The sequence below is a fragment of the Homo sapiens genome, chromosome 13, assembly GCF_000001405.40.
Source record: "Homo sapiens chromosome 13, GRCh38.p14 Primary Assembly".
Lineage (NCBI taxonomy): Eukaryota > Metazoa > Chordata > Mammalia > Primates > Hominidae > Homo > Homo sapiens.
This window is the reverse complement of record NC_000013.11, coordinates 20399593-20416775: the sequence shown is the minus strand read 5'-3', so window position 1 is coordinate 20416775 and position 17183 is coordinate 20399593. Positions and strand designations below refer to the sequence as shown.

General features: G+C 48.0%; 1 protein-coding gene across 2 annotated transcripts in view, besides 4 other annotated features; it reads left to right on the top strand.

Annotated features, from left to right (window-relative positions):
• CRYL1 (crystallin lambda 1) overlaps positions 1–13107 on the top strand; it is a 122189-nt gene extending 109082 nt beyond the window's left edge. For both annotated transcript variants that reach the window (NM_001363647.2, NM_015974.3), the window contains 3 exons: positions 3389–3494; positions 12035–12141; positions 12534–13107. In NM_001363647.2, coding sequence (NP_001350576.1) covers positions 3389–3494; positions 12035–12141; positions 12534–12647 — 327 coding nt within the window. In that variant the 3' untranslated portion in view covers positions 12648–13107. The remainder of the gene's footprint in view (positions 1–3388; positions 3495–12034; positions 12142–12533) is intronic.
• Positions 335–916: an enhancer, noted in NCBI's record as "H3K27ac-H3K4me1 hESC enhancer chr13:20989999-20990580 (GRCh37/hg19 assembly coordinates)". NCBI's record gives its function as "activates a minimal SCP1, AML or CMV promoter by ChIP-STARR-seq in naive H9 embryonic stem cells {active_cell/tissue: H9 hESC(naive)}" and the evidence as "EXISTENCE:reporter gene assay evidence [ECO:0000049][PMID:30033119]".
• Positions 917–1498: an enhancer, noted in NCBI's record as "H3K27ac-H3K4me1 hESC enhancer chr13:20989417-20989998 (GRCh37/hg19 assembly coordinates)". NCBI's record gives its function as "activates a minimal SCP1, AML or CMV promoter by ChIP-STARR-seq in naive H9 embryonic stem cells {active_cell/tissue: H9 hESC(naive)}" and the evidence as "EXISTENCE:reporter gene assay evidence [ECO:0000049][PMID:30033119]".
• Positions 3416–3917: an enhancer, noted in NCBI's record as "NANOG hESC enhancer chr13:20986998-20987499 (GRCh37/hg19 assembly coordinates)". NCBI's record gives its function as "activates a minimal SCP1, AML or CMV promoter by ChIP-STARR-seq in naive and primed H9 embryonic stem cells {active_cell/tissue: H9 hESC(naive and primed)}" and the evidence as "EXISTENCE:reporter gene assay evidence [ECO:0000049][PMID:30033119]".
• Positions 10421–10940: an enhancer, noted in NCBI's record as "H3K4me1 hESC enhancer chr13:20979975-20980494 (GRCh37/hg19 assembly coordinates)". NCBI's record gives its function as "activates a minimal SCP1, AML or CMV promoter by ChIP-STARR-seq in naive H9 embryonic stem cells {active_cell/tissue: H9 hESC(naive)}" and the evidence as "EXISTENCE:reporter gene assay evidence [ECO:0000049][PMID:30033119]".
• Positions 13108–17183: the final 4076 nt, after the last annotated feature.

Below are 17183 nucleotides of genomic sequence, written 5' to 3'. Positions count from 1 at the left end.
GACCTACTCTTGAGTGGCTCACCTTTTTTCTATTTTGCAATCCTAAAAATGATTTTTTAAAAATCAGCTCTAAAAATACTAAATACGATTCTAAAAGAGCCAAGCCAAATAACACTGCAAGTATAGGGTGGCTTCCATGTTTGCATACTTCCCAGTTTGAATACTAAAATGAAAACTTGGGGCTGTTTGGAATGTTGGCCTGGAAAGCAAGGGTGAGGGAGCGACTGCAGGCCGCCTGGCTGCCTTTCACAGCATTCCAGAGCCCACGGGGGTGCGAGGGGCCACAGCCCAGGCCTTCCAGCAGCCTGGAGAGAGGGCAGGGAGCCACCCTTCCTGCCTCCAGACCTCCTGCCAGGGAGAGGAGGCGACAATGCCTGTGTTCCACACGGGATTCTTGACGGTTCCGGGAGTTTCTGTGGGCCTTAGGTAGATATCCCCCAGCCCCCGTGATGCCCCGACCCGTTACAGCTTCGCTATTGGGAGTGAAAGGAGGCGACCCTCCTCAGCATTGCAGTGACTTGCACAGACTGATTCACTCTCCTTAGCAGTCAGTGAACATGTGGTAGGGTGATTTAGAACTCGAAGGAAACCTGGTGAGATACCATTTCACCCTACCAGATTAGCGAAACTTTGCAAGGGTGAGGACACCAAGCGTGGCGAGGCTGAGGCGCGACGGGACCTCTTCTACACAATTCTGGAGGCCGGGGCGCCGCAGTGACGGGGAGAAGGATGCTCTGGGCCCCAGCCGCGGCCCGGGCCCTGTGCGCGTGACCCTGGCTGCCCTGCTCACAGGAGCCCCAGACTAGCCAAAGGCTCATGGCCGCAGGGTGGATGACTAAACTCATATCTCTGCATCAAGGAGATGGACACATGACGCAGGTGAATCTGAGAAACAGGATGGTGAGAGACAAGTCACGAAAGAACGCGCGCTCAGTGATTCCACTTACAGGAAGATTAGAAATGGGCCAGCAGCAAACGCTGCAGCTGAGGAATGTGAACACGGGCGGCCAGTCTGAAAAGCGGGAAAGCCGCAATTGCAGGAGTCAGGGTGCGGGCCTCTAGAAGCGGGCGGAGTCTGCGGCAGGCGAGGCCAAGCGTTTGCTTTGTAATTCTCCTGGAAACGTGGACTGTGGCTTGTTCAGCCTCGATATGCTTGTGTCCCGTGTGCGCAAACAAAACGAAACGCAAAGTGGCTCTCTAAAAGGGAGTCGCGGGTCACAGTGAGTGGCCCTGGCCCTCGCCCTCGCCGGTGGTGGCGTGGCTGTGGCCGTCCTGGCTCCTGGGCCAGGCCGCCTGCTCCCGCTTCACCGCCGCGCTCTCTGCAGACGCAGGGCGGTGTCCAAGCCAGCACACGGACCTGAGGCACCTGGCTGTCGCCCGCCGCAGCCGGTTGCGGGGCACGGCGGGGGTTTCGAACCCCTTTTCTCGCTTCTCGGGGGACCCCTGGGGCTGCCCTGGAGGCCCAGGAACCTCGAGGCCAGGCCCAGGCGCCCCAGGCTCGCAGCAGGGCAGAGGGTGCCTCCCTGCAGGCCGCTGTGCCAGGGTCCCCGCAGAGCCCTCCGGGCGGAGCAAGCCCCCAGCTTGGAGACGGCCTTCTGGGCAAAGACAGGCTCTACCCGCAAGCCTGGGAGGGACTGGGGCCGGGTGCGGGCGAGGGGAGGTGCCCCGGGGTAGGGAAACCGGGCTCAGCCGAGGGCAGGCGGGCCCGCCCAGGCCGCGATGGGAAGGGCGCGACGCATCGTCCACGGTCGGGCTCTCGCAGGCGGGCCAGCGCTACTGCCTCAGTCCTACAGAGCTCTGGTGAAAGACAGCGCTCAGATGAGACCTGGGGCGGCGGATTCCGCGGGAGTGCTGCCTGTCTGAGCCGTGAAGGCGTAGGGGAAAAGGTGGCGGCTTCCCTCCGTCCGCCCTCCTGACAGTGGAAATGCCCAAGGGGGAGGCATCCTCTGACGGGAGGGACCTCAGTGGAGCGCAGCTCTTGCAGATCATTATCTGCGCTTGCCTGCCTCCATCCCAAAGCCACGTGAGGCCAAGGAACACAGGTGGCTGATCAGACGTCTAACCTTAATACATAACAACTTGCCTCTTGCTTTGCAATTTACATTGCAGAAGATTCCAGGGCCCCACCTTAGCAAACAAACCCATGGTTCTAAGCTGCATTTCATCAAAGAATATCACTTTTTACGAACTCATTAAAAGCTGAACAAGGCCGGACTTGCAGGCATGTGAAGCCTGGAGAGCACCTTCCCACGTCTTTTGATGGCTCTAATCTTACTCCCCCCTGGGTCCTAGGCAGAAATCTAGAAAATCCTTCATGTCCTTTTACTACGATGCCCCGTCCTCACGCTCCCCTTGTCGTCAGCTTCTCTCACTCCCTGCAGCTGCAGGCGGTCCGTAGGTTGTAGGGTGAGCTAAGGAGGCAGGGAGGTCAAGAGGAATTGATTTCAACCCCTAGTAGATTGCAGGGATGGAAAAGGTGAATTTGTGTTTGACCATTTCACACACACACACACACACACAAAAAATCTCTTTTTAGTGTATACATATGTGTGTGTGTGTGTGTGTGTGTATTTTTTTAATTTTTATTTATTTATTTATTTTGAAACAGAGTCTTGCTCTGATGCCCAGGCTGGAGTGCAGTGGCATGATCTCAGCTCACTGCAACTTCTGCCTCCTGGGTTCAAGTGATTCTCGTGCCTCAGCCTCCTGAGTAGCTGGGACTAGAGGCATGCACCACCATGCCCGGCGAATTTTTTGTATTTTTAGTAGAGACAGGGTTTCACCATGTTGGCCAGGCTGGTCTCGAACTCCTGACCTCAGGTGATCCCCCACCTCAGCCTCCGAAAGTGCTGGGATTACAGGTGTGAGCCACCACGCCAAGCCATTTATAACATATGATAATATTATAGTTTTGTCATGCAAAATTCAATCAAAACACTATCATAGGTTGAACATCCCTAATCTGAAAATCCAAAATCCAAAATGCTCCAAAATCCAAAACTTTTTGAGCACTGAAATGAGATAGTGATACCTTTGCTTTTCTGATGGTTTTGTGTACACAAACTATTTCATGCACAAAATTATTGAAAATATTATATAAAATTACTTTCAGGCTAGGTGTATATGAAACAGAAATAGATTTTGTGTTTAGTCTCAGCTCCCATCCCCAAAATATCTCATTATGCATATGCTAATATTCCAAAATCTAAAAAATATCAGCCATCCAAAACATGTCTGGTCATAAGCATATTCGGTAAGTGGTACTCACCCTGTATAGTGCTTTGGAGAAGATTTTGGGATCCTGCTCTAAAGAAGTTAGGATGGAAGTGGTGGTCATGAAATTGTCTTTTTACAAAACTCATCTATGCCGCCCAATTTCTCCACGTAGGAAGGAATCGTGTCTCCTAGTGACCTGGACCTTGTCATGTCAGAAGGGTTGGGCATGCGGTATGCATTCATTGGACCCCTGGAAACCATGCATCTCAATGCAGAAGGTATGCATCTGGGGCCAGGATGGGAATTCCATTCTATTTAGTGTTGTCATGGGTTTTGTAAACAGTCACATTTTGCCTTTTCTTACAACTGAATAGAGACAGTATATAGGAGATGATGGCCAGCCCTGGTGATTCACAGACAAGGCAGGGATTCGAAACGCTGTGTACTGAGATGTAAATCCATGTGGAGTGCATGCACCTCAGGGCTCCGTGTGGTGCATTGTGCTCAGGTGAGAGCTCAAAGGAAGAGAGGTTGGTGATGTCACAGAAACTTCGCAGCATGTCACCCAGCCTGGCAGAAGGGAAAGTGGTAGTTTCCTGAGGAAGATGATGACATTATTTACAGAGGCAAGACGAAAAGATAGGGGACTGACTTAACCCACAGGGACCTCTGCTGGATATCTCTTCTGCCCAAATATGAGCAAGGTTTTCTTCTAGAAGGCTAGGGAGCCTATAGTGAGGGAGGGCTTCCACAGGCTGGGAGCTGAGGAGGGGCATATGGGTGGGGCAGACCAGACATTGGCCAGACGCTGCCTCCAGAAGGCTTGGGGGGAATTAGGTCTGAGCCCATTATCTGTGATCTGGTAACTCTAAAGGAAAGACGACTTGGGAAGGACAAGAAACTTCCAAGAATGAAACTCTGTCAACCAGATTTTAATTGATCCAAAAAGAAAATGTCATTTGATAACCAATAAAACCTATAGCAAATTAAAACAAAGTAAAATTTTAAAACTATGTATAAAATCTGGAGAGAGATGTAACCTAGATGTTATTATTGCCAGCTATCTCTTGGTACTGAGATTATAAGTAACTTTTAGTATCTTTTTGCTTGTCTGTGTTATAAATTTCTACAATTACTATAGATTAATAACATTACTAACTTAGAAAACATATAGAAAGAGAAAAGAAATATTGTATGCAGCTCCATGGCCTGCATTTAACAAAGGATACTGAGAAGCTGGGGCTTATCCAGAAAAAAGTGACCAGAGTCTCTCGTATGTCTCTCGGTCTGTATGTTTTGTGGGGGCGGAAGTGGAGTGAAAGACTGGAAATGGCAAGCAGACAGACAGGTTTGGGCTCAGTACATGGCAGGAAGAACTTCCTAGTAACAGGAGCTGATGTCCAGGAAAGGCCCATGCTTTAAGTGGGTAAGCTGAAAAGGGGATGTGGTTGCCTGCCTGTGGGAGGTTTAGATGTTGAGAGGAAACTCCCTCTGCGAGAGGGGAGGTTGAGAGTTGGTGACCTCTCTCAGTCTGTTTGACTTCAGTTCTATAATTTCAGTATTACATTTTGGTAATAGTTCAGTCAATTTTCACAGTAGTTAATGAAATATGCTGTCCAATGAATAATTCAAGGAAGCTTTACTAGACATGTTCCTGCATACAGCAGGTGCACAGATGATTTCTGAAGTGGATGGGCCGTGTGTTCTCTGCTTCAGTCCTTATCAGAATCAAGCTAAGAAGAGCTAAGAGGAGTGAAGGGAAGAGGGGAATCTGCTCCAGCACGTGTGTGTTAGTTTTATGGGAAGATAACCACTGAATAGAAGAAGATAATGTAGAGAAAGATGGCCTCATGCAGTGAAACAAGAGTTTTCTTGTATTATTAACACAAAGTCTTAGATCATTTCAAATGGTGTTTTCAACCAGAACCTCAAAACTTGTGAGCATATTTAAGCATTTGAAATGTATATAGATTTGTATATATACTTAAGCATTTGAAATGTATAGAAATTTATACATTTGAAATGTATACAGACGCTGCCTGATAACCACTGTGTTTTTCTTTCTCCCTTTTTTTTCTTGAGAAAAATAAGATAATTGAGGAATCATAAGAAATAGATAGGGACAGAACTGAGAACAGCTTTGACTTTCAAACAAATAGAAACAGAAGCCAATGAAACCAGAAACTCAAGAATCAAATAGAGTGGCAGACAGGAAGGAGGCCCATAACAATTTTTCAAACAAAGCAGATACGATAAGAAAACCTAATTGGCTTCATATGATAATGGTGGACGGATGTAGTTTTCAACTTCAGAGCATTCCAAAGACCAGAGTTGGAGAGTTATAAGATCTGGCTGGGAACCCATAGAAATGTTTATCATTCTTCCCTGTGTCACCCAGAATATATCAAGATTGGAGTTGGGAGAATTTTTCTTCTTTTCTGATACTGTTTTCATAAAGCCAGCATCTCAGGTTAAGGGTAGTTATTAGCCTGAAAAGCTACCATTTATCTAGAACTAGTGCAAATATTTTAGGATTTATTTTTAATCTAATGAAATAGTTTCTGAGAAACAGGAGGCCAGCGTGCCATTGCCTTTTGGCTCCTTTTACAAACAACACCCCTGAAAGACGGGCCCTCAGAATGGTGGTTCTGGCCTGTGGAGCCAGCCGGCCGGCTCCTTACCCTGGCTTTCCAGCCTACTGGCTGTATAACCTTGGGCAAATGACTTAAGTTCACTGCATCTCAGTTTCCCCATCTGTGAAATGGGGACAACAGTAACTGCTTCCTCAGGGTGGTGTGAGAATTGAACCAGATGGAAGCTCTTAGCTGGATTGCTGGCACCTGTTAAGTCCTTAATATATGTTATATTCAAACAGAGCTTTGTCTTGTTTCTTTCACGTACTACTTTTCTAGTTTTTTTCGTTGTTGTTTTATTTTTGGTTTTTAAAATTCTTCCAAAAAGATTCACAAGTGCAGAGAGAGGAATAAATACAGATTAGGATTTTATTTATTTATTTATTTATTATTATTATACTGTAAGTTTTAGGGTACATGTGCACAATGTGCAGGTTAGTTACATATGTATACATGTGCCATGCTGGTGCGCTGCACCCACTAACTCGTCATCTAGCATTAGGTATATCTCCCAATGCTATCCCTCCCCCCTCCCCCCACCCCACTACAGTCCCCAGAGTGTGATGTTCCCCTTCCTGTGTTCATGTGTTCTCATTGTTCAATTCCCACCTATGAGTGAGAATATGCGGTGTTGGGTTTTTTTGTTCTTGCGATAGTTTACTGAGAATGATGATTTCCAATTTCATCCATGTCCTTACAGAGGACATGAACTCATCATTTTTATGGCTGCATAGTATTCCATGGTGTATATGTGCCACATTTTCTTAATCCAGTCTATCATTGTTGGACATTTGGGTTGGTTCCAAGTCTTTGCTATTGTGAATAATGCCGCTATAAACATACGTGTGCATGTATCTTTATAGCAGCATGATTTATAGTCCTTTGGGTATATACCCAGTAATGGGATGGCTGGGTCAAATGGTATTTCTAGTTCTAGATCCCTGAGGAATCGCCACACAGACTTCCACAATGGTTGAACTAGTTTACAGTCCCACCAACAGTGTAAAAGTGTTCCTATTTCTCCACATCCTCTCCGGCACCTATTGTTTCTTGACTTTTTAATGATTGCCATTCTAACTGGTGTGAGATGGTATCTCATTGTGGTTTTGATTTGCATTTCTCTGATGGCCAGTGATGGTGAGCATTTTTTCATGTGTTTTTTGGCTGCATAAATGTCTTCTTTTGAGAAGTGTCTGTTCATGTCCTTCGCCCACTTTTTGATGGGGTTGTTTGCTTTTTTCTTGTAAATTTGTTTGAGTTCATTGTAGATTCTGGATATTAGCCCTTTGTCAGATGAGTAGGTTGTGAAAATTTTCTCCCATTTTGTAGGTTGCCTGTTCACTCTGATGGTAGTTTCTTTTGCTGTGCAGAAGCTCTTGAGTTTAATTAGATCCCATTTGTCAATTTTGGCTTTTGTTGCCATTGCTTTTGGTGTTTTAGACATGAAGTCCTTGCCCATGCCTATGTCCTGAATGGTAATGCCTAGGTTTTCTTCTAGGGTTTTTATGGTTTTAGGTTTAAAGTCTTTAATGGTTTATGTTAAAGTCTTTTATGGTTTAAGTCTTTAATCCATCTTGAATTGATTTTTGTATAAGGTGTAAGGAAGGGATCCAGTTTCAGCTTTCTACCTATGGCTAGCCAGTTTTCCCAGCACCATTTATTAAATAGGGAATCCGTTCCCCATTGCTTGTTTTTCTCAGGTTTGTCAAAGATCAGATAGTTGTAGATATGCAGCATTATTTCTGAGGGCTCTGTTCTGTTCCATTGATCTATATCTCTGTTTTGGTACCAGTACCATGCTGTTTTGGTTACTGTAGCCTTGTAGTATAGCTTGAAGTCAGGTAGTGTGATGCCTCCAGCTTTGTTCTTTTGGCTTAGGACTGACTTGGTGATGCGGGCTCTGTTTTGGTTCCATATGAACTTTAAAGTAGTTTTTTCCAATTCTGTGAAGAAAGTCATTGGTAGCTTGATGGGGATGGCATTGAATCTGTAAATTACCTTGGGCAGTGTGGCCATTTTCATGATATTGATTCTTCCTACCCATGAGCATGGAATGCTCTTCCATTTGTTTGTATCCTCTTTTATTTCCTTGAGCAGTGGTTTGTAGTTCTCCTTGAAGAGGTCCTTCACATCCCTTGTAAGTTGGATTCCTAGGTATTTTATTCTCTTTGAAGCAATTGTGAATGGGAGTTCACTCATGATTTGGCTCTCTGTTTGTCTGTTGTTGGTGTATAAGAATGCAGGCCAAAATCTCCTTAAGCTGATAAGCAACTTCAGCAAAGTCTCAGGATACAAAATCAATGTACAAAAATCACAAGATTAGGATTTTTGCTATGGCATGGAGAAGCCTCTGGAACCAGGTACCTAGAGTTTCCCAGCCGGGTTTGTTTCTTTGCTAAGCTTTAGACTCGCAGGTCAGTAGAGAGAGAAACCGCTCAGCCTTGTCCCTGGGGCTGTTTGGGTTCCTCCTGCATTTTGTTCCACTTGAAATGAGGACATCTCAGAATCTGGCAGCGTGGAAATCGCCTCCAGGGGAAGTGGATGTTTATTTACCATTTTGCCTCACAGATTTCCTCTCCTGTGTAGACACTTGCCTTTTTCAAAACTGAGATGCCTGGTGGCTGGTGGGTTTGGTTGATTGATGGGAAGCAATTATTTGCCAGCCAGTGGAAGCAGGTGAGCTGATGGGCGGGGACTTGCTGAGGTGAGGTGAGGGGCCCGGGTCGGTTCTGCCTCCCCTACCCTGGGCAAGTCCTCACTCAGGTGGGAATTTGATCCTGAGAGTAGGAATGAGATAATGTCGCTCTGTGCTTTGAGGCATTTTTGATCTTCCTTAATGAGTTCTGTGAAACCCTGTCTCTAAAAAGCAGGTGAATTCATACAGGTGTGGGTTCATAGCTGCGTGAAAGAAAACCGGACTTCCCATGTATGGGTGGCAATTAAGGCTCTCCAAGGAGCTGATGCCTGGAATCCCTCCTAGTGGCTGTGGCCTCGGGCTGGGGTTAAGGCCTCCTCTGGTGCCTGCTGCATACATGGGAACAGAAAGGATTCCTGCCTGTGCACCTGGGGCATTCAAACCCACTGTCCCTCAGAGGCCCACAGCCCAAGGCTCGCAAGTTAGAAAGCAGCAAGTTAAGCTACATCCAATCTCATGAGAATCAATTCTTTTTTCTACTCTTTGTCTTTTTCTGGATAAGCATCTCTTAAGAAATTAGGTTCAGAATCTTCTAAAAAGCCAAGCTCTACAAGGGTTTTGGAAGAATTAGAACTCAAAGGGACAGAGGGCATGGAAGCACAGAAGAAAAAATACAGGGGAGGCTGGATTAGATAGAAATAGTGGGGAAGGGCAGACCAGGGGATCAAAAGTGAAGTGGGCTGTGTTGTATTTTTCCTATTTCCAAAGAAATTGGCATTTTAGAGTAATTTACACCCAATTCTCCTCTCGTGGTGTAGAGAAGCCAAAATAATTGTTGAAAATAAATTACACCTCCCTAAAATGGAAGGGGAGGAGTTGCAAATAACAGTCACAGTCATAAGTTTACTGGGACATGGTTGTAAATAATCAGGCAGATGCAGGTCGTGAGTCTAAGTCACTGAGAACTCCTGCCCTTGGAGCACCCGGAGGCTGCACCCATCTCATGGTGAGCACGTGGTGTGGGCGCCTAAACTTCATCACAGACAGTGAGGCTCTTCATCCCAAGAGCATGTTACAGAAAGTTTTTATATCAGTAAGATTGACATTTTAAAGGGTTTCCTGAATAAAAATGGGGAAAATTATGAATTGCACTATTATGAATTCCAGCATGATAAGTTTTAAAGGGACATTTATTTCTACAAAACAGAATAAAACAGAATAAAAGTTTTGTAGAAATAAATGTCCCTTTAAAACGTTACAAAGGCAGAAAGGAAAGAAAGTTCTAGAAAGCTCCTGGGAGGTTCAAATGGTTTCACAGAACAGGGAGAGATGAACACTTGCTCAGAGAATGTGACATGTTCCAGAGAGCAAGTGCTGCGTGAACTGAACCCCTGGCCTGTGGCTGCTCTGGTAGGAGAGGGAGATGGAACTGGCTGCTGAGGGGTCTCGTGAGGGCGCCTGCCTGCCTGCAAGTGGGGGGATATGCAGCCACAGCAGCTCTTTCCATTTTCTTCTAATTTAATGTATTTTCAACTTGATTCTTGTGTCTCTGCCCTCCCCCACCCCAAAAGGAAGGAATAAACTGTATTTGTGTCTAGATTTTGTCTCCTTTAGTTTTAATAAATAAGCAACTAGCAAAAGTGAAGTAAATAATTTCCCAAATGAAATAAATGTGTAGGTTGTTTTCTGTTCTCCAGAAATGCTAAGCCATCTACAGTACGTATCCAGTGCTGGAAAGCTCAGGAGACTTCCAGAATTCTGCACTGCCAAATTAACACTTAGGTTAAATGAGATGACACCCCTTCTTTTATAAACAGAGTACCCATCCGTTAATTTCAGATGCTAATGTCAGAAAAGTTGGTATGTTTGAGTCTTTTACCCTTCAAAACCATTTTGGGGGAAATTTTAACACACTGAGAGAGAAGAACTATTTGAAGCAAATAAATTGCAACCCAATGATTTTAGGCTTTCAAATCAGCATAGGTCAATCAAAACTAAACCCCAAAGATGATGTTTGTTTATTTTTTGCTTTTTGAGCGTATCTAGTACCGATGGTTCGTATTTTAACTTAATCATCCACGGTTTTTGTGGGGAGTGGGAAGCTGAGCTGGGGCAGGCTCTGCACGTTCTGCAGCTTCGTTTGTCCCCATGTTACCTTTGTAGGCGGACTGACCAGCTGCTGAGCCTTTAAGGGTTTGAAAGATGTGGGAAATGAGTCAGGGTCGCAGCAGTAGCCCAGCCTATGTCCTCCATGGCGCCCAGGACTAGAAACGCCTCCTCCTCCTCTTCCAGGATCCCGGCCCTGGCTTCTGACTTGACTTGCTAAGCACAGGCCGGCACCAGCCCGTTCGCCTCCCGGCAGCAGGGAGGGGAGGAATGTGAGGGAGAGTAAGTCTGCGGGGCCCAGCGGGTCGGGGCAGGCCAGTGCTGGGTGGGGGCCGTGACTGGCCTGCGCTTTCCCCTGGGCGCACCCCATTCTCGCACAGTCAGCCTAGCCCGTGCGGCTCCCTCCCTCTCCCTCCAGGATAAGCCTCTTCCTGCATCTCTTCACCAAAGTCCCAGGGCCCTCTCCTTAGAATCTGAGAAATCATGGCTCTCCAAGGCTGGGGAGCAGCAGGAGCGTGGGGAGCGTGCATGGGGGCTTGTGCAGATGAGCGCCTGGCTCCATCCACCCAAACCAGCAAGGTACAAGCCAACGTGAGCTCTCCAACCGGTGTTTCAAGTACCTGCAGCCTTGACCGTACCCAATACAGTGCTAACTGAGATCTGTGGTCTAACAGTGACATAAGTGACAGGTTTACCTGAGATCTGACATTTTTAATTCTTGGAAAATGCATTCAAACGTTGTACACAAATAACCTTGTACACCCATGGTTGGAGGAAACACTTGGTGACATTAGGACTTACTGTGATAGCCAACAAATCAGTGTGTGAACGCAGGCCAACCGGAGGGTCCCATGAGATGCACCAGCAGAGGTGGCATGCAAGGTCTGAGGGACCTGGCACTTTTTTTTTTTTTTTGAGACGGAGTCTCGCTCTGTTGCCCAGGCCGGAGTACAGTGGCGCGATCTCAGCCCACTGCAACCTCTGCCTCCCGGGTTCAAGCGATTCTTCTGCCTCAGCCTCCTGAGTAGCTGAGATTACAGGCACCTGCCACGCCACCTGACTGATTTTTGGTATTTTTAGTAGAGACGGGGTTTCACCATGTTGGCTAGGCTGCTCTTGAACTCTCAACCTCAGGTGATCTACCCGCCTTGGCCTCCCAAAGTGCTGGGATTACAGGCATGAGCTACCGGGCCCAGCCAGGACCAGCACTTTTTGGCATTCGAACCCCCAGGAGCCAGCGTGGACAGTGCGTAATGGGGAGGGTCGCTTCTCCAGTGCCAGCAGGCCCTTACACATGCCCCAGCTCTGTCTTGTCTTCACAGGGAGGGAAGAGTGTAGCTTATCTGACCCCAGGGTGAAACTCTCTGAATGCATTTCTGAGTTTGAATATAACTAAGAATGTTTTTTTCTGAGATTGTGGATTCTTGTCTTCATACAATTCCAGGTATGTTAAGCTACTGCGACAGATACAGCGAAGGCATAAAACATGTCCTACAGACTTTTGGACCCATTCCAGAGTTTTCCAGGGCCACTGCTGAGAAGGTTAACCAGGTATGTAACTTCTCTGCAACTCACTGCAGAGAAGCATGTTGGCTACCTGGAGCACTTGCTGCCCCTCACCTCTGCAGCGGGTGGGCCTGCCTCTGCAGCTGGAATCTTTACCCTTGATCTTGGTGGTTCCTCATTCATAACTTTGTTCATACTTCCATCGTGTCACCAGGACACCTTAAGGACAGGGTGACCAGTGAACTGGTAGCTCATTGTGACTTGTCTCTGAGGGACTGAGGTCTTTCAAGATTTGGAAAGCTGCTGTTCATTGAGGGTTTATTGCTTTTGTCTTTGAAAGCAGTTTCTGCACAGTTTGCATAAACAAGAGCAATAATTACACTCTTGATAAATTATTTCCTCTTTATTGTCCTTTTTTTTCCTTCTCCTTCTTGCAGGACATGTGCATGAAGGTCCCTGATGACCCGGAGCACTTAGCTGCCAGGAGGCAGTGGAGGGACGAGTGCCTCATGAGACTCGCCAAGTTGAAGAGTCAAGTGCAGCCCCAGTGAATTTCTTGTAATGCAGCTTCCACTCCTCTCATTGGAGGCCCTATTTGGGAACACTGCAAGCCCTTAATCAGCCCTCTGTGACATAGGTAGCAGCCCACGGAGATCCTAAGCTGGCTGTCTTGTGTGCAGCCTGAGTGGGGTGGTGCAGGCCGGTAGTCTGCCCGTCACTTTGGATCATAGCCCTGGGCCTGGCGGCACAGCAGCACTTGCGTTCTCGGGGCTGTCGATTTCCTGCCACCTGGGCAGATAACCTGGAGATTTTCACCTTTTCTTTTCAGCTTGATTGCATTTGACTATATTTTACAGCCAGTGATTGTAGTTTCATGTTAATATGTGGCAAAATATTTTTGTAATTATTTTCTAATCCCTTTCTGAGTACTCTGGGGCCCTGCATTTATGAGGCACCTACCTTCATTTTGCTAACGCTTATTCTGAATAAAAGTTTTTGATTCCTTAAAGACATCTTTTCTCTTTTGGTTTTTTATGAGAAACACAGCATTTGATCCTGATGACCGGCATATTTTAGGGTGACCATGACGCATAAGTCATAAGCAGATACTTTTTTCCAGGCCCTTTGTCCATCACTCAGCAGAAATCCAGAAATGTGGGCTTTTCCCAGAGTAGGTTCCATGGTACCCTGAGGCTCTATGGTCAGATGATGTTTGGGAAACATCACTGACTGCCCAGCCCTTAGACACCCCATGTCTGTAGCAAATTAAAGGCACCAAAGTTCTACACTAAAGTACCTGTTTGATCCAACACTCAATTATTGTCTTTGATGTGGTCTTTTCCTAGATCTAGTCCCAAAACACTCTGGGAGTACCATTACATGCCCCACCACCCACAAGGCCATGCACACCACAGTGGCCAGATGCCACCAGTGGGCTCCCCTGACACTTCCCAGCCTTGCAGCTTCTGGTGCCCAGCTTCGTCCAGCAGGGAGCTGCCTTTCCTTGGGGCCAGGGCTGTGGAGGTGTTGGATGCAGTGCCCCGGTCAGGAGCCGTGTGGAAGTGGTCATCGTGGCTAACCTGTGCTCACAGACTTCTGCATCACACTCATTTATTCTCACAGCATGCACTGAGTGGCTGTGATGTGCCAGGCGTCCCACAGGTGGCCCCTGCCCTTCAGAAGGTCACCATAAAAGAACATAAATTGAGAATAAAACAGGACTGGTGCTCCAGAGGAATCCAACACAGGAGAGCCTGGCCAGCTGCCTGCCCCATGTGCCCTGGAAGGTCTTGAGGAGGTGGCCAACCTGAGGGGGCTGGGGTAACAGGTGGAGTCAGCCAGCCCTTCTGGGAGAAGGAGAGCATAGGGAAGGGCTGGAGTGCTCTGGAAATGAGGAGCTGCCCACCCTGACCAAAAAGGAGCCCTGGAGGGGACCCTGAGTGGAGCCAGGTAGGGAAGAATCCAGGGGCTGTGCCAATGGCTGGGCCTTCACCTAGAGCCAAGCGTTCCTCAGGCAAGGAGTTGCCCCAATCAGGTCAGGCTCTCAGAAAGCTCATCCCACAGCAGAAGGGGCCAACCTGGAGGCAGAGAGTGTTGGGGTCCACGTGAGAGTGAGTTGGGCAGTGAACGCAGAAACCATCCCAGGTGGAACCCACAGTCCCCGCAGGACCCGAGAGAGGCGAGGAGGCTGGAGCTGATGTCACCCACGAGATAAAGAGATTAGGGGAGAGGCAGGAAATGTGAGTGCCCCGATATGCAAGCTTCACTGAAAAGGCGATGTGGCCAGACATGAAGGAGGCTTCAGCAGGAAAAGGATCCTTCCCTTCATCTGATTAAGTTTCAGAAATTCCTTAACTGGTGACTAAATCCCTCAGCCCTCACACCCTGTGACCTACTGACAGAGTTCCTTTCCGTCAGGTCTGCGCTCCTCCCTGAAGCCTCCAGCTTTGGCTGCTTTCCTTCTGCACACTCCCAGGTCTTGGCCCTGTCACTGCGCTGTCCCCTGTGCCTGCAGGACTCCCCTGATGAGCCCGCCAAGGCCATCTGCAGTTCCCAGGCCCAGATGTGGGGTCGCTGAAACGAGGGGGTCGTGGGGTGCAGGTGGCCCCACTCATGGCCTGCTGGGCTCATGGTATCCCTGAGCCACGCATTCCAAGAGGAGCGGCCACAGCAGCCCTGGGCAGCACTGGCGCCAGCATGCAGGGCGGAACTGTGCATGGCTTGGAGGTACATCGCTTCATATAAGTTCTATTTTCCCACTTTTGCTGTCAGGTATTTTGTGCGGATATCAGGCATGTTTTGGCAGAAGGAAGCAGACAGAAGTGCTTCATGATTTTGCTTGAAGCAGGCACAGTGTGCAATGAGGAGTGATCGGCTGTGGGAGTGCCCAGAGGGTCTCACGTAAGGGCTGAGAAAGTCAGGCTCTTCAGGCTTGAGAACAGCAGCGAGCTCATCGGTGGTTCTGGGCCCAGCTTCAGGAAGACAGTTATGGGAACAGCTGGATAGAGTCAGGAATTGGCCCAACACAGAGCTGAAGGGAGAGTGGGGTATGTGAGCCTAACCTCACACAAAACCCAAGCAACAGGCCCTTCAGAGATAAGTGGGAGGGCTTCAAAGCAATCAGCTGTGGCTTATGGGGGCCTTTCTGCTTTTCAGTTTGCCGTCCCTGGGGTCTGGCTACCAAAGCGCTTGGTTGCTTTATGAGTTTAGTGGCTGTATAATTTCATGTGCCAGTTTTCCCATAAATATCCTCTTTCCAGGATCCCATCCAGGAGCTCACATTGCATGTCATTGTTCCATCACCCAGTCTCCTCTGGTCTGTGCCCATTTCTCAGCCTTACCTTGCTTTTTAGGACCTTGACATTCTGAAAGAGCCCCAGCCAGGTGTCCTGTAGAAGAGCCCCAGTCTGGGTTTATCTGATGTTTTTGCTGTGATTAGACTTGAATTAGATCTTGGAAAGAAGACCCCAGGGGTGACACGCTCTCCTTGTCATGTCATATGGAGGGTGCACAATACCAGTGTGACATGACTAGGATGTTGGCCTTCCTCGCATGAACTTGCTGGGTTCATCCACTCTGAGCTACTACTAAAAAATAGGAAGTTAATCAGAAGGACCAGCCGAGTGAGATATTGTCCTGACTGGTTTCTGAGTCATTTTCTCAGAACTGCGAAACTATAATCTCCATCCACATTAACGCTCAATGTGGCATAGTGCACACACAGTTCCCTTCCTGCTAGTCTTGGAGTCCAGATGTCTTCTCTCCCTGAACGGCAGCATGGACTCATGTGCGTGGCATCCACATGACTGCTCTGTTGTGCCTGCTCAGCTCGAGAGGCTGGCAGTGGGGTCCCCACAATTTATGTCTGGTTCCTACTTGGTTTGCAGGCCTGGAAACTATCTTGCTAGGGCATAAATTGGAAGGGGATTTTTCTCATGCTCATCCAACTAGCAAGACTGCCAGAAAAACCAGAATGCCAGTTTTATTAACTTTCCATGGATTCATCTAACATACATTTATTGAGCATCTACTGTGTGCCAGGCTCTATTCAAAGCATTGAGGATACAGCAATGAATGAAACAGGCCAAAAAAATACTTTCCCTCATGGAGCTTATATGGTAGTTCTGGTGGGGGAAAACAAAACATATGCCTATCAAGAGGCAAAGTATAGAATATATCAGAAGGGTGTTCATTAAGTGGATAGAAAATGGAGCAGGAGAGAGTGACAGGGTGTACAGGTGGGGTGTGTCTGCACATGTGTGTACAATTCTAAAGAAGTAATCAAGGAGGATGATAATAAGATAACATTTGTGCAGAGACCCACAGGAGTGAGCAATGAGACCATGGGGAGCTGTAGGGAAGAGTGCTGCAGGGAGAGAAAACAGAAGGGCAGAGGCCCTGAGGCCAGGCTGAAGGGGTGCATCCAAGGGGCAGTTGGATGGTCCATATGGCTGAGTGGCAGGAGGCAGCAATGAAGGAGGTGGCGGGGGACAGACCAAGATGGGGATGGTGGGCCCCGAAGGCTGACAGGAGGATTGGCTCATACTCTGTGAGGTGGGAGGCCAGAGGAGCAGCGCCATCTCACTCAGTTTCTCAAAGCCCTTTCTGGCTTGGGTGGAAAAAGGACTGTCCGGAGGCTGGGGTGGAAGCAGGGAGTCCAGGCTTTCTTGCCACTGTCTTGGTCAGGGATGGCAGCAGAGGTCTGGAGGAGGGTGTGGCAAGGAGGAGGGGAGCAGCAGCCAGATTCTGGAGCTGTCTTGGAGGTAAAGCCAACAGGATGGGCAGACAGCATGTTGGGGATGAGAGAAAGGTAAACGTCAAGGACAACTCTTCTGTGGATGGAGGGAGAATTGCCGTTTCCTGGGATGAAGAAGATGGGTAGGCAGGAGAGTAGGACCCAACCATGACCAGGAAGTTGCTTGGTAGCCTGGTGGTTGAGCAGGGGCGTGGTGGGCACTGCTGAGCCATGACAGCCTAGGGGAGGGAGCGTGTGGTTCTGTGGGAAGAAGCTTGGCCCTGCATGGTGACGGGGAGGAACATAAGACCAGTGCCTAGGCTCCCTCCACACTCTGTTGTCACCATTTTGT